This window comes from Homo sapiens, chromosome 7 (assembly GCF_000001405.40).
Source record: "Homo sapiens chromosome 7, GRCh38.p14 Primary Assembly".
In the NCBI taxonomy this organism is placed as follows: Eukaryota; Metazoa; Chordata; class Mammalia; order Primates; family Hominidae; genus Homo; species Homo sapiens.
In genome coordinates, this window is record NC_000007.14 from 144,730,620 (window position 1) to 144,747,194 (window position 16,575).

A 16,575-nucleotide genomic window follows, 5' to 3' on the forward strand; every position below is an offset into this window, starting at 1 on the left:
AAAACAGTATATAAATATTACTATTAAAATTTACATCTAACATGACTATTCTCTTGAGCAGCCATATTCAGTGGCATGAAGCCTGGTGTAACAAATGTCCCACGTATAAATTGAATTGTTCAGTACTTCACACTTCCGGTATTGCTAAGACTTCCATTTTCTTCATTACAAATTGATACTACTTCTTAGTCAAATAAATTTTGTCTAAGCCAAAGGTAAACCATAGGAACAACATTAGGCAATTTCTAAAGTCTGTTATTTTCCTGAAGAAACATTTTGGATAGCTAACAAGTTCCTAGTTATCTTCCCTTTGTATTAATTATGCAACAAAAAGTCACTTATTGGTGAATCTAACAGTTTTATGTATATATACATATATTTTTTGAGACAGAGTCTCTATCGCCCAAGCTGGAGTGCAGTGGTACAGTAATGGCTCACTGCAGCCTCAACCTCCTGGGTTCAAGTGATCCTCCCACCTCAGCCTCCCGAGTAGCTGACACTGCAGGAACAGAACACCATGCTCAGTTCATTTTTAAAATTTTTTTTGCAGAGATGGGATCTCGCCATGTTACCTAGGCTGGTCTTGAACTCCTGGGCTCAACTGATCCATCTGGCCTCCCAAAATGCTGAGATTATAACTGTGAACCACCATGCCTAGACTAAAAGTTATATTATTAATAAAAGGTTATGTATTTCCCAACTACAAGAGTGATGTTTTTGAAAACCATAGTAGTAAAAGTATCTTCAGTTAAAGAAAACAAAAGCTAATGGACAAAATAGGGTTGGCGACAAAGTCATAAAATAAAAATCACATCAGCCCTCAAGGCTGATGTGATTTTTATGTTTTATTGTATACAAAGGCAAAACACATAGATAATGAAATTATAGTTTACCAATTTTAATGGGTCAGAACAGGATCCCAACTTGAACTACCGTAAGCAAAGCAGGTGAATTTATTTATAAAAGTCCTTGTTAGCATCATGGCTTTCTGCAGGTTCTGCCCCTGTCACTCCAAGCCAGAACACGTCTGCAAGGGAAACTGAAATTTCTTTCATATTTCCTAAACAATGCCAGAAAAGCACTTTACCTGGCTAGTTCCAGTTTAAAAATAAAATCCAAAGAACACAGATAGGACTGAGTCATGTGTCCATCCCTGAGCCAATCTCAGTGGCCAGGGGGACCATCGACCTGGACACAGCTCAGGGAATCCACCACTGCAGCCAATGTCTGGGCTATGATGACTGGCAGCTTCCACTAGAACTACATGGTTAGAATGAGAGAGGAGAGGTATTTTTGCCAACAAAGGGGGAGTACTGAGCCAACAAAAAGAATAGCTATCTACATCACTGAGTAATAACAAGCATGTTCTTTTTATATTTTAACAATCTGAAAATAGGATATGTCTCAAAAACATTTGTTGGCCCGATGAAAATCATGATATAGTGTCATTATCCATATATGCAAAAACTGGGTGACGTATCTGGGCCAGGAAACTTTTCAACATTTCAATCAATAAGCCGTTTGAGAACCATCTTAGGAAGGTAAATGAATATTCATATTTCACTGAATCCTTTCCATTGACTCATATGGTAAGATTATGAAAACAATAGCATTGAAACATGCATCTTTGATGACAGCAGCTTGAAGAAAGATCTGGAAGTCAACACTCTATCATTCGTTTAAAAATGCTTCATCGCCAGTGTTATTAGTGGCACAGAAGACAATATTATGTTGAAAAACATGAACATCAACAACTCTCTTGCAAAGTGATTCAGAAGAGTTACACAATAAATGCAAAGTTTTAAAAAATATCCTTCACCATTTTTTTCACTTATATCTTTAAGAGTGCTGTGGTTTCAAATATGTCCACAAATTCCTTGTTTTTCCTCATTTGACACGTAGAAGGGTAGAGTCTAATTTTCTTACCCTTGAAAGTTGGCTTGACTTAGCAACTCACTTCTAACAAATATGACAGAAATAATGAAATGTGATTTTGGAAACTAGGTCATAAAAGACATTTCAGAATCTTTCTCACTTGTTCTCTTGGATCATTTACTCTGGGGAAAGACAATCACCATGCTGTAAGAGTAGTCAACCATCTCCATGGGGGACAAGGGATTCTCCCATCAGCATCAACAATGTGAGTATGCCATCTTGATACTACATTCTCCAGCCCCAGGAAATCCTTCAGATGACCACAGCACCAACCAACATCTTGACTACAATTTCATAAGCGATACTAAGCCTGAACCACCTATGATAACTAGCTCTTGAATTCTTGCCCCAGAGAATCTGTGAGATAATAACTGTTAATATAATAAATAGGCCGGGCACAGTGGCTCATGGCTCTAATCCCAGCACTTTGGGAGGCTGAGGTGGGTGGATCACCTGAGGTCAGGAGTTCGAGACCAGCCTGACCAACATGGAGAAACCCTGTCTCTATTAAAAATACAAAATTTGCCCAGAGTGGTGGTGCATGCCTGTAATCCCAGCTACTCGGGAGGGTGAGGCAGGAGAATCACTTGAACCCGGGAGATGGAGGTTGCAGTGAGCCGAGGTTGTTCCATTGCACTCCAGCCTGGGCAATAAGAGCGAAGCTCTGTCTCACACACACACAAAAAAATTATATGTACACACACACATATATATGAATATACATATATAAGAAAAACTTGCTTATTAAACTATATGTATATACATATATATTTACATATATAAAATAGTTTATATGTATATACATATATATATATTTACATACATATAAAAGTTTAATAAGCAAGTTTTTCTTTCCTGTGGTACATAAAATACTCATGCATCATAAAACTGATAGAGTCTCTTAGACTCAATAAAATGCAGCAATTAATTTCCATTTACAATCTATTGCTTTGTTGTTTTTTCCATTGAGTTTAAAACAGAAATATATACTCTTTCTCCATTCTGCACTTTCTTTCTTGCTGCCCCCCACCTAGCATGCATTCTCTAAATCCTCCTGGAAGCCTTCCCTGATCTCCCTCAGGCAAATTATATACCTCGCCTCTGTGTGCCACTGTATGCAGGACTTATCTATGTCATAAATAAGTGTTATCCATATGTTTATTGAAATAATAATTGAATACTATATTAAGCATTTCTGAATGTCATTTTTCTCAAATAAATTGGAGATTCAGAGCAACACAGAAGATTGCAATATAAAAAGGTTTACCAACCATTAGACAAAAAACAGTAGTGAGAAAAGCTTTTTTATAGTTATCAAATATGTATTTCTCAAAACCTTATTATAGTTCTGCCTATAACCAAAGGAGATGTCTACAGTCAATTCTGTTTTTATACATATCAGCTCCCACTCTTTCACATTATTTTTAATTGTCTTCAATTTTAACTACACATACACAGCTTATATAATTATCTCAAATCTTATATGTATAAATGTGTTCATATCATAAAGGCTTTTATTTATGCTATTTGTGCAGTTTTTGTTTTTCGCTTGCTCTCTCCCTCTCTCTTCTCTATGCTCACACCTTATTCCCTTCCCCAACCCGTCTAAGAGACACATTATAGGATCCCTGCTTCTCCATGTTGATAAACAGACAAATAAATTTTCACCCATACACAGTAAATATGTATATGTGGATTTGTTTACTTCACTTATTTTATTAAAATCACATCAAATAATGGGAACTTTTCTGCATCCTACTTTTCTCCTCACTCAATACCTCACTGAAATTCCAAGGCAATGAGTGCAGCTCTAATTCTTTTTTTTCAAAATGGCATCATATTCTTTGACACATATATGCCATAATCTATAACTATTCAATGATGATTGGGCATTTACTTTGTTTATACTTATAATTCCATATCTATTGTTTTTCTACTAACACTATGGTATTTTATGCCAACGAAAATGTACCTTTTTTTTTTTTTTGAGATAGGATCTCGCTGTCACCCAGGCTAGAGTGTAGTGCTGTAATCATGGCTCCCTGCAGCCTCAACCTCCTGGGCTCAAGTGATCCTCCCACCTCAACCTCTCAAGTAGCTGGGACTACAGTTGTGTTCCACCACACCCAGGTACTAACTTTTAAACAGTCAAATACTCCTAGCTTTTAAACTTCTAGGTTTCCAATCCTAGATGAGAAAGACCTTCCCTAATCCTACATTCATATATATCCTGATTGCCTTCAAAAATTTTTGTTTTTCTTTTTTACATTTATGTATTTTTATGTATTTGGAAATATTTTCACATGTGATATAAGGGTCTGATACAATCACATAGTCTCTATAGATGAGGAAAATATTTTGAAGACGTTTAAATCAGCAGTGTTACAAAACAGTTTAAATTGACTGATTCAAGTTTCCTTATTAAATTTTTTGCAATAAGGTAAAAAAATGTGAATAGGTATTATCTATCCATCGTATTTATAAACTGTTGGCTAATTCACCCTAGCAAGCATCTCTCCTCAATTTAAAAATCTGGCTAAGTCAAGGAAGCATGTTCTCATTAATTAAAAGTCATAAGGCCTAGGCAAGACTATACTGATATAATAATTACAATATTTGACTGCAATTCAATACACATACATAAAACAACTATAATGAGTAAAAAAGTTTTAGGTTAAATTCAAACTGTTTTCAGGAGATAGTGCCTAACTGTGCTACATGACATTCTCCATACAAGTCTTCCAATGTAACTGTTACTGTTACATGAAGGACAGACAATCCAATTCTTTGGCTAAAAATGGATGTTTGTAATCAAATTTTCCACGGTTATTAGGACTCGAGACTGTTCTAACACTCAAATGTGGCAGATAAGTCCAAGGTAGTAGGTTGCTTCTAATATTCTCTATATTACAATCTTTTTCATTACATTTCTGCCTCTGCTCATAAAGTAGAATTCTTAATCCTAGTGGCATACTTTACTTCAACATTGTGAAATATTTTAAGTATAACCTGGCTGGGTTTTTGGCTTCCAGGTTCTTCTACTTTTCCAGAAGGATCCTTGAACACTGTCATGCCAGCCAAAGCCCAAGAAAAAACATCCTCTATAATACAGTAGAAGAGAGAGGCACTAAACTGGTCAGTGTCAGTCAGGATTCTTCAGTTTGAAAGATAACAGCTGTTCCCTTCCACACCAGCATAATAAATAAAGAATTCTATGCCCTGGTGTTTTTTTTTTTTTTCCTTTTTGAAACATCACTTTTGATCTCCTTACAATTTATTATCAGCGATGGCATTTTTGCCTGCAGCAGTTTTTCAGCCAACTCCTGACGTGTGTGCATCCACGCAGATCTCTGCTCAATCCCTAAAGTCCCTTTTAGAATTGCAGCAGCATGCATACTCCCCACCACACAAAATACGACACGCATACAGGTGGTTATTTCTTGTGCTGGGTTTCATCTTCAGTACAGGTTAAAAACTCTCAAGGGCACAGCCTTCCTTATCTGCCTCTCAAATTTCCTTTCAAGCATCCTGCACAGTACATTGGTAAAATCCCGGATGATACATAAATCCTCACTGATTGATTTATAACACACACTTACAGATTGTAAATCCTGCTAAGGAAAGGGTCCTGTCTCGTTGTCTTTGTAATCCCGGCAATCTGCTAGCTCCTCAGCTCATGGAGCTCACTCATTTTTTAACCTAATAAGCATTTTGAACATTATTAATTTGCAACATTGGACAAGAGGCTTAAGAACTTTATAGTGACATAATCCTAAGGATATGTCCTTTTCACTAAACACTTTGCTTGTTTGTTTTAAATCAAGAAGACAAATTTCTTCAGAAAACAGTGTCTTTAATTAAGAATTTAATGCTAATAATGATAGCTTGTCACACTCTTCCACATAAAGCTCACCCTAGTAAAAATATTGTAAACAAGAGTGTTCTAATTAAAATAAACAAAGATCCCTCTTTGATCTGGGAATTAAAATAATAAGTACTAAAAACAGCGAAGTACACCAAAATATGGTAACAACTGACATTTTTGCCTAGCTTCATAAATGTATCACTTTTTAAAGAAATTAACTTTTTTCTGTTCAAAATATTTTATTTTCTGTAGTATTACAGAATTTCTAAGCTTTCTAAGGGGATATTTTCAAAGAAGCAGTTGCCGTAAATGTTAAAGAAAATCAAAATTAAAACCCAGTAAACAAAAGCTTTCACTTAAACATCAAACTTATCATGCAGAGAGGAGAAGGGAAGTATTCACAAAAGGAAATATAATATTAAAAAGCTATGTTCTCACTGGTAAAAGACAAGAATTGATGCTATATGAGACTTTAGTAGGGCTGAAGTCTAAATCTATGAAGGCCATTATCTCAGAATCTAATAAAAGTTGTGCTAAAACAAAAATGTTCCCCTAAGACCTAAGCCACTGGTTATCAAACCAGACCAGAGGGAGGCAAAGGAGGGAGGAGAGAAAGAAAAGAAAAAAGAGAAGAGAAGAGAGAAAAGAAAAGAGAAGAGAAAGAGAAAAAAAAGAAAAAAGAGAAGAAAAGAAAAAAGAAAAGGAAAGGAAAGGAAAAGGGAAAGGGAAAGAGAGAAAGAGAAAGAAAAGAAAAAACGTGGGGGAAGAAGGAAGGAAAGGAGGGAGGGAGGGAGGGGAGGGGAGGGAAGGGCAGGGCAGTAGAGTAGAGAGGAGGCAAGTGAATAAGGGAGGGGGAGAAGGGAGGGAGGAAGGAAAAGAAGAAGGAAGTAAGACAAACCTGTTAGGAATGTTAATTCTTAAATCCTATCCCAGACCCACTGAATCCAAAATGCTGGGCTAGGGCCCTCCAGGTAATTCTGATGCATGCTAAATTTGAGAACCACTGGCCTATAGCACATGAACAAAATGAACATATCCAGAAGTGAGGACAGAATATAAAATAAATTTTGCTATAAGTTAAAGCTCATAAAAAAGTGAACATCCTAATCAAGACAAATATTACATTGATGGAATAATAAAGATTAAAATATAATAAATTACACCTTAATGTCTATTTTTGGGGGTAACACCTTATTGAAATATAACTCACATGCCATAAAATTAATACATTTAAATTGTACAATTAATGGTTTTAGTATATCACAGAGTTGTGCAACCATCATGACCAATTTTAGAATATTTTCATCATCCTAAAAAGAAACCCTACACTTTGGTAAGTCTCCCCTATTGCCCTAGTCTCCAGCATCTACTAATATATTCTGTATCTCTACAGATGTGCCTGTTCTGGACATTTCATATGAATGGAACCATAATATGTTCTTCTGTGTCTGCATTCCTTCATTTAACTTAATATTTTCAAGGTTCAGCAATGTCACAGCATGTATCAATACATCATTCCTTTTTCTGACCAAGTAATTTTCTATTATATGAATGGAACATATTCTTTAGCCATTGTTTTTTCCATTCATCCACCCATTACTGGACGTTTGGGTTGTTTCTACCTTTGGGCTATTATAAGTAACACAGCTATGAACATTTGAGTACAAGTTTTGTTTGGACATATATCTTCATTTCTCTTGGGTACATACCTAGGAGTGGAAATAGCTGGGTCAAATGGTAACTCTATTTTTAACAATTTGAGGAATTGCCAGACTGTTTTCCAAATTTATTGCACAATGTTGCATTCCCACGAGCGGTATATGAGGGTTCTGCTTTCTCCATATCCACCCCAACACTTGCTAGTATCTGAATTTTTTACTCTAGCCATCTTAGAGGGTGTGAGGTGGTATCTCATTTGGGTTTTGATTTGCATTTCCCTGATGACTAATGATGTCAGGCATCTTTTCATGTGCATGTTGGCCATTTGTATATCTTCCCTGGAATAAGTCTATTCAGATCCCTTGTTCGTTTCTAAATTGGATCATTTTTCTTATTATTGAGCTGTAAGAATTCTTTATATGTTCTAGATATAAGTCTTTTATCAGATATAAGATTGGCAAATATGATTGGCAAATATTTCTTCCCATTCTCTGGGTTTCCTTTCACTTTCTTGATAGCAATCTTTGAAACACAAAATGTTTACTTTTTAAAAAATATGAAAAAAAGCCAAATTAAAAAAAAACAAAGAAAAAGATACAACAAAAACAAACCAAAAAAAACAAAAACAAAAAACAAAAAATACAGAAAAAAGTTTACTTTTTTAATGTTTCCTGAAAAATACTGGTTTTCAATTCACTATACAATGCTAAGTGTAATTTTTCATTAAGATGCTGGATATTAACATATAGAAACTTACGGGTTTTGCGGTGGACAGTTTATTGGAAACACTGTTCATGTTACAGAGCTATGGCATACAACCACCACTTGGTGGCAGTTAACTGCCAAAAGAGTATTACGAATAAGTTACCTGAATGTAAAAGTCAATGGTTCTGTGACAATCTTGCCATTATCTATATTAATTAATCACTTCCACTGCATGGATAATCAGAAATACAGAGAAACACAAAATAAAGAGTCCATCTGCTTTCCACGGAAACACTTTAAAAATACTGTATACACTACAAGGATAATTTCCCTTGAGATACAACATGCAGAGAGCTCCCATGCTATAAGGGACTCAAGGAAGCAATGCAATGATATTCTGGAAAAAAAAAAAAAACTGGTTGTAGAAGTCTTTAAATTTTAGAAGAAAAGTAAACATTGAAGAAAAAAAAAACTTGTTTATGTGCTCACCGAAAAAAAGGAGGGGGGGATCAAATTGAAGTAGCCAGTAGACATCAGACCAATTTTCCTCAAATGGAAAACGTAGAACATGAAGTCACAGTAAATAAATGGGCATAAGCAGGCAGACAGGCAGGCTGCCAGACACACAGAAAGAAGTGCGGGCAGGCAGAAAAACAGAAATGTACAAGTAACAGAGATTACAAGAGCTAGGAATGCTGATCTCATGGAGGTAGTGAGTAGAAGGATAGTAACCAGAGGCTGGGAAGGCTATGGCACAGGCAGATGAAGAGAGGCTGGTTAATGGGTACAAACATAAAGTTAGATAGAAAGAATAAGTTTTAGTATTCAATAGCACAGTAGTGTAACTACAGTTAACAATAATATATATTTCAAAACAGAAGATCTGAAGTGTTCCCAACACAGAGAAATGATACATGTTTGAGACAATGGATATGCTAAATACTCTGATTGGATCATGACACACTGTAGGCATATATCAAATATCACATGTACCACATAAACATGTACAACTAATATGCATCAATTTAAATATTTTCTTTAGAAAGAGATTCTCTTCTTCAACACAATCTCCAACGGCGCACAACATGCAAGGTGCTATACGAAGCACCAACATAAAGAGAGAGAAGCCAAAGACTTTATGCTCAGTCTACCTGTGAAGACACACATATATGAGTAAGGATGGGAAAGAAATTTCAAATATAAATTGTAAACACTTCTTAAAGCCTAAGGAAGCTGGATGTCACGCTCTAGGAAATGTTTACACCTGCAAAGCTTCTGAACTGAGAGAACAAGAACATAGACAAATGAATCTAAAAGGTAACGTGCAGCATAAATGTAACTGGAAAATAATCAGAAGCAGACAACTCAGAGAACAGCTGAAATAGGACAGAATTAGCATCAAGAAGAGATTAGTTTAGGTAGGAAGTAAAAATGGATGAGAACAATATGAAAACACTGTAAAGAAAAACTTGACAATAGTTGATCATACCCATAAGGATGAAAAAAAAATAAGGAAGTCGTGGGTTAAAAATAGCTCCACAGAGTGAGCCTTAGTGAATAAAAAAGGAGGTAAGTCCACCGAAGTTCTGATTTTAAGACAAAGATGTGGTTTCAAATGTGTCAGGTAAGAGACTTACATAGAAATATCCAGTAGAGGCCAGGCATGGTGGCTCATGCCTGTATTCCCAGCACTTTGGGAGGCTGAGCAGGAGGATCACTTGAGGTCAGGAGTTCAAGACCAGCCTGGCCAACATGGTGAAACCCTGTCTCTACTAAAAATACAAAAATTAGCCGGGCGTGGTGGTGCACACCTGTAGTCCCAGCTACTCAGGAGGCTGAGGCAAGAGAATCATGTGAACCTGGGAGGCAGAGGCTGCAGTGAGCCAAGATCGCGCCACTGCCCTCCAGCCTGGGTAACAGTGTGAAGCTCCATCTCAAAAAAAGAAAAAAGAAATATGCGGTAGAGAGCATATTTCAGGCTAAGAATAATAGAGTTAATATCAGTTTAGCAATTTGAAAACAAATAAATCTTAATCCAATATTCAAAGTAAACAGCCAAAACAATTCTATTAAATGTAGTCCCCTATGGAAAACTTCCGTACTGTTTTAATTAAAATTACCTATTGCTATTCTCCAGGCACAGTTATAAAGCAAAACTTAGATGGGCTTGTAGGGTGGGAGGGAGAGAGGGGATACAGAGTTAAAAAGTACCAGTTTATATATGGAATATAGGTAGCAAAAGGAATTGGAAGCAGACAAAAGCTGAAGGGAAAAATAAATGTAGCCTCAATTTCTGACATTAATGTGGCCATTTAAAAGCTTAATTATTGCTTATAATCTATGTCTGTGCTGTATTAATAAATTTAAATCTCATGAAATATAAATCTTCACTTTTTTTTTTTTTTTTGAGACAGTCTTGTCCCTTCACCCAAGCTGGAGTGCAATGGCGCAATCTCAGCTCACTGCGACCTCTACCTCCTAGGTTCTAGCATAAATCTTCACTTTATTTGCTACTATATAATGCTTATCTCCAAAAGCTCAAAAGAACATTATTGCCTTTACCTTTATAAAATTTATATAGGAAAGACTCCATTTCCTGAGAAAATAAAGTTAGGAGAAATTTAGTTTTTTCCAAAATTAGAAAATGGTCCTTAATTTATCTGGATTTGGAATTGTTGTTGTTGTTGTTTTGGCATATTGAAAGATACCTGTATTTTACAATATTCCACATAGTTAGATAACAGACTTAAATAAATACTTTAAATTAAATACTCATAAAGAATACTATTCTTTCCAATTCTTTAATTTCCTTCAGTTGTTATATTTTTAACATAATAGTTATTAGTGTATTTTTAAAAGAAAGTTTCAAATAGCTAGCTTAAACATTAAAAATACCATCTTCATCTATTACATTATCTAAGGTGCTAACATTTTAATCATTCCAAATAACACTGATAGTAGATAAAATGTGCAAAAAAATCATACAAACTTTGAAGAAATTAATCAAAAACAACCCATTCCATAAGTTAAAAAAATAAAAACACATCTGTTTACCAATGCTTTAAGAAGACAAAATAGTGATAAGTATGTTGATTATTTTGGAGAAATGTTTTCTCTCACTTTTTGTTACGGCACCAAAACTGAAAAGAAAATGGGCTATTTGGTGAGTTCAAATAAAGATAATGGCGGCACCCAATTAAGTAATCAAGTATAACAACCACCTAATTTTATGTAACAACACAGTAGTCAGATACCATCCAAAGACTGTCTTAACACAGTCACACTGGAGGAGATCATATACACACACACACACACATAAATACACACGAGATGACATTAAGACAGGATTACTTTTGGCTGGAGGAAGAAATGGGTGAAGCTTGGTGAAGGGAAAAAACAGAAATGAGCAACCTGAGTGTGTAAACATTTTGCAGAATCCAAGTGGCTTCTTTTACCTCCATTGATCATCTGTCATTTCTGGAGAACCAAATACTACTAGGCACAAAGTATCTCAACTGGCACTCTTCCAGAGAGTAAAAGTGTGACCTGATTAGAAATTAGAAGTTTGTAGGAAACTATAAGGTAATATTTGATCAGGGCAGTCACATCTTTAAGCAGATGAGGAAAGCCTAATCAGAATGATGGGTTATTCTCTGGGAAATATCCTGATACTAACATGGCGAAGTGGGTCTCACAAGGCAGGTCTCACAGGCTCAGAAGAGGCACAAATCACAGGTTATAGTACCATCAGCCCTACTAGTACAAGTCTTTCACATCTCCTTTATTAGTACCTAGCATTTAACTCACAGGCACACATGAGACTGGGTGGAAAAGAGAACGGAAAGAAAGATAGTCTCAATAATTTATTAACAAGGATGATGCAGTATAGTAACAAAAAAGAATGACTTCAAAAAATAAAAAAAGTTAAAAAATAGAGGAAAAGAAAGAGCAAGGGAAAGAAATATAGTAGTCAGTAAAAAATAAGCCTCTGGAGGAAAAATACAGCCTCCAGGTATACATCAAAATGCTTCCCAGCATCTTCAGGAAGTTCTGATGTCCAGTATTGGAAAATCTCAATATAAGGTAACATTCATTTCCATTAATATGACATTTTTCTAAACATATATGCTTGAAGACTACAGGTGACAGCACTTCAAAAATTATTATTCAAGACAGAAAAAAAGCACAGGCAATGACAGAAAGTTCAGTGATAAATATTCTTCTGTATACATTTTAAGTTAATTTAGTTTTATAATTTCTTCATTCCACAGTTAACCTGTTATCTCTATAATCTTTTCTCATTCATTTTGCTGACATATTTATTATGTTTGCTTGAGTTGCAGAATTATGCAGGTATCATTCATTAAATAAAAGGACAGAAGTTTAATTATTTATGACTTTGGCTTTTATTTGAAATACTCTTTAAATTTACTAAGGTAAATACTATCCATGTGCTATAACTTATAATTATCTTTTCATTTTGATTCAAAACTGAAAATAAGACCAGTGAAATTATAATTAGTTCAATGTTCAAGATAAAAAAGGTAGACATTGGCCAGGTGTGGTGGCTCACGCCTGTAATTCCAGCACTTTGGGAGGCCAAGGCGGGCGGACCACAAGGTCAGGAGATCGACACCATCCTGGCTAAAATGGTGAAACCCCATCTCTACTAAAATACAAAAAGTTAGCTGGCCGTGGTGGTGCATGCCTGTAGCCCCATCTACTCAGGAGGCTGAGGCAGGGGAATCACTTGAACCCAAGAGGCGGAGGTTGCAGTGAGCCGAGATCACGCCACTGCACTCCAGCCTGGCAATAGAGGAAGACTCCTTCTCAAAAAAAGAAAGACATCATCAGCTGATATGGTTTGGCTGTGTCCCCACCCAAATCTTATCTTGAATTGTCACTCCCATAATTCCCACCTATTGTGGGAATTAATTTTATCATGGGGTAGGTCTTTTCCATGCTGTTATCATGATAGTAACTCTCATGAGAGCTGATGGTTTTATAAAGGGAAGCTCCCCTGCACACACTCTCTTTGCCTGCCACCATTTAAGACGTGACGACTTTGTTCCTCCTTTGCCTTCTGCCAGGATTGTGAACCATGTGGTACCGCATGTCAATTAAACCTCTTTCATTTATAAATTACCCAGTCTCAGGTATGTCTTTATTAGCAGTGTGAGAATGAACTAATACAGTAAGTTGGTACCAGGAATGTGGTGTTGCCGTAAAGATACCCGAAAATGTGGAAGCAACTTTGGAACAGAGGTCGGAATAGTTTGGAGAGCTCAGAATTTGTAATGGGGTAAACATCGCTCTTGCTATGCAAAGAAACTGGTGGCATTTTGCCCTTGCCCTAGAGACTAATACCTCAACAGTGTATGATAACATAAAATTGGTTAAAAGGGACACAAAATGCTCATCAGTAGGATAAAGTAAGTCTTACATTAATAATAAATTGGAATGCTGACAAAATTGTTCCAGGTATTACAATGAAATAGATATATCTGTTAAGTAATATGTAATCACTTCCAGTTTGTTTAAACATGTGTTTAACAAGTATCAAAATCCTCACAAAAAGTATCGAAAGTTCCTTACATAATAAGCACTATATAAAAACATAATTGAAACCCACTCCAATGGCAAAAGATCCTGAAGTACCAAGGTTAATACTCAGGATTTGAAGACTCATTAGTGCAGAGATAGAATAAATAAAAGAGAATGAACTGAATCTTTACCAAATTTTTAAATACTGATTTGGGAGTTTGACATTTATGATTTATGACTTCTAAAAGTAGAGTTAGCAGAAAAATTTCTACTTTGCTAAGATACACAGTTTATCAAGACTGCTAGGATACAGGTATTGTATCACCTAATCCTCCCTTCACTGGAAGTCAGAAGCTTAAACACCACATGTGCCTAATAAAGAATAAAATACAAAATGCAAAATACAAAAATATCTTAGCCACAAATTTTTATTAAACTGGATGAATGAGAAAAGAAAGAATGCCTCCAATTACTGTGAAAGCCTCAGGATTCTACTTTGCTATGGTAGTTCACAGTTGCATTCTCATGGAAATATAAAGGATGTTATATTTCATTTTCTACGAGTAGAACCTCACAACCATTTCTATCATCTAGAAAATGATATAAAAATCATTTTCTACAAGTAGACCCTCACAACCCCATTTAATGAAACATAAAGTAACGCAGCCATAGCCTTTAATACTGTTAAGTATAAAAATATTGCTTCTCTCTTCTTTTAAAAAAGTTTGCACATGCTTCCTGTTTATTTTCCCCTCATAGAAGAAAGAAGTGTTGCTTCTTTAAAACTAGAAAGCAGATATACATAGGTTTTTTAATATACATTGAGAAGATCAATAGCTCACCTCTTCAAAAAAATGTTAAGAAATTATTAAAGCATGCGAACAATTCTGCAATCATTGGATAGAAAATCCTAGTTTTAGACAAAACAATTCTGCTATCATTGGATAAAAAAATCCTAGTTTTGGACAAAACAATTTTGCTATCATTGGATAGAAAATCCTAGTTTTAGACTGAACAATTACGCCATCATTGGATAGAAAATCCTAGTTTTAGACTGAACAATTACGCCATCATTGGATAGAAAATACTAGTTTTAGACTAATCTATAGCCAAAAAATGCACTTTTGCTTTGTTCTGTAAGACAAGATAAAAAGGGCACAAATGAAAGTTCTCGAGGCCTCTGCTAAAAACTCCCCATAAAAACTAGAAAGAGCATTCTGATTGTAATATTATAAAATATTCCTATTTCACTTCCAACTATAAAAATGGTATTTTATTTAACCAGCAAGAGTTTTAGAACACAGTATTTAGAGGCCTATTGAATGTTATAGTTGAATGCATACCATCTCATGAAGGTCTTTGATTCAATAACAATTGAGATTAATACAATAAAAAGCAAGGAAAAACAAAACCAATAGACCTACCTAAATAATCAAAGCAAAGGAGAGTCTGGCAAATTTAAGCATATGGACATGGATAAGCCATATGGATAACTGAAACCAATCAAAACAATTGGGTTAAATAAATATGGTTAAGTTGGCATATTTATATTTCCCAAGATCCTAAATTTGCTTTCAGTGAACACTCACATCCGTGCTCCTCTAAGTTTCAGTTTATATTTCTTTTTTTCTTCTCTCTAAGATGACAGACCCAGCCTACTTGCAAGCAGTTCCAAGATGATGCCCCTGTTTTTATTCCTGCAGTGTTTTACATGCTATTGAATGTAAACAAGGCACAATGCAACGAAGCATGATTAACTGCAACTGAAAACCCAGGAAAAAGACTGAAATTACTGAAGGCATCATTATGAACGAGATGTAAAAAGTAACCATAAAGCAAAAAGTCCGGCTTGGATTTGTAACTAGTTACAATTAATAAGTTCAATAAATATTTGTCCAATGAGTGATCCAGGCTGGTAATGATACATACATTTTAAATATAGTATTATCATTCCTTTTTTAAAATAACCAAACATTGCTGGCAATGGAAAAAAAAATCAGCTGTATCTTATCTGTCCCCTAAGGTCTCCTCTTCTGAACTCTCAAGAACAACTCTCATCACTGAGTAAATCACAGTACTTCTCCACAATACCTCAACGGAGAACAAGAGGGAGGGCACATTTTGGACACTTCAAGGTAAAAATCACAAACAATTTTCCTTTAGTGACAGAATCTTAATTTCAAAAACTGAGATATTCTGGATGATTCTCCACTAACTTCTACTATAACTTTGGAATGTGTTTTAAACACTCACCATTTATATCTAGATGAATTTAAATGTAAAGGTAAAAATTTCAAAGTAAAATACTTCATAATATTAAATTCTTTCTTACATTAATTATGTTTTCTTGGAGAGTAGATAGCCACCATCACGGATATTTTTCCCCTTTTACTATCTAAGTTGTAGGGAAAGAAAAAGAGAGACAGATGAAGACTGGTAACTTTGAAAAGATATGACATTTGATGAGTATATCTTGGCTGATTTCACTGACCTAATTTATATACCATCCTTAGACAGTATGAGGAATTTTTTTTCACGAAGGACAAGCCAATGAGTCTATTCACTTCATAAAACTCAAATTTTTATATTTATATTTGCATTAACATGGCAGGAGTTAGGGGGAAAATGTAGGTTGTTTTTCTAATGAAGATATTCAAAAGGAAGTCACATATTTTAAATATTTTTATTAAAGGTCTATATATATGTTCCCACGTTAAAAACTCAAAATATAAAAACAAAAAAATAACAGTATGCATGGCAGCAACCCTTCTTTTATAAAAATATACAAATCTTTGTCTAAAAGCTACTGTGCCCCACATCTAAAACCTCCTTTCCCTCAGTGATCATACCTAGTACTGAAAGAGTTT

At 35.1% G+C, this 16,575-nt stretch overlaps 1 protein-coding gene across 40 annotated transcripts in view; it reads right to left on the reverse strand.

The window, feature by feature from the left end:
* The window catches only part of TPK1 (thiamin pyrophosphokinase 1), a 384,497-nt gene that overhangs the window by 278,679 nt on the left and 89,243 nt on the right, over nucleotides 1-16,575 (reverse strand). For 4 of the 40 annotated variants that reach the window (XM_047420196.1, NM_001350884.2, XM_011516037.3 and 1 more), the window contains exon 1: nucleotides 8,217-8,279. The exons of 35 other annotated variants lie outside the window; for them this stretch is intronic. The gene's annotated coding sequence lies outside the window, so the exon portion shown is untranslated. Of the gene's footprint in view, nucleotides 1-5,534; nucleotides 5,635-8,216; nucleotides 8,280-16,575 lie in introns of those variants that run through there. One more of the 40 variants, NR_146936.2, reaches the window with a different exon arrangement.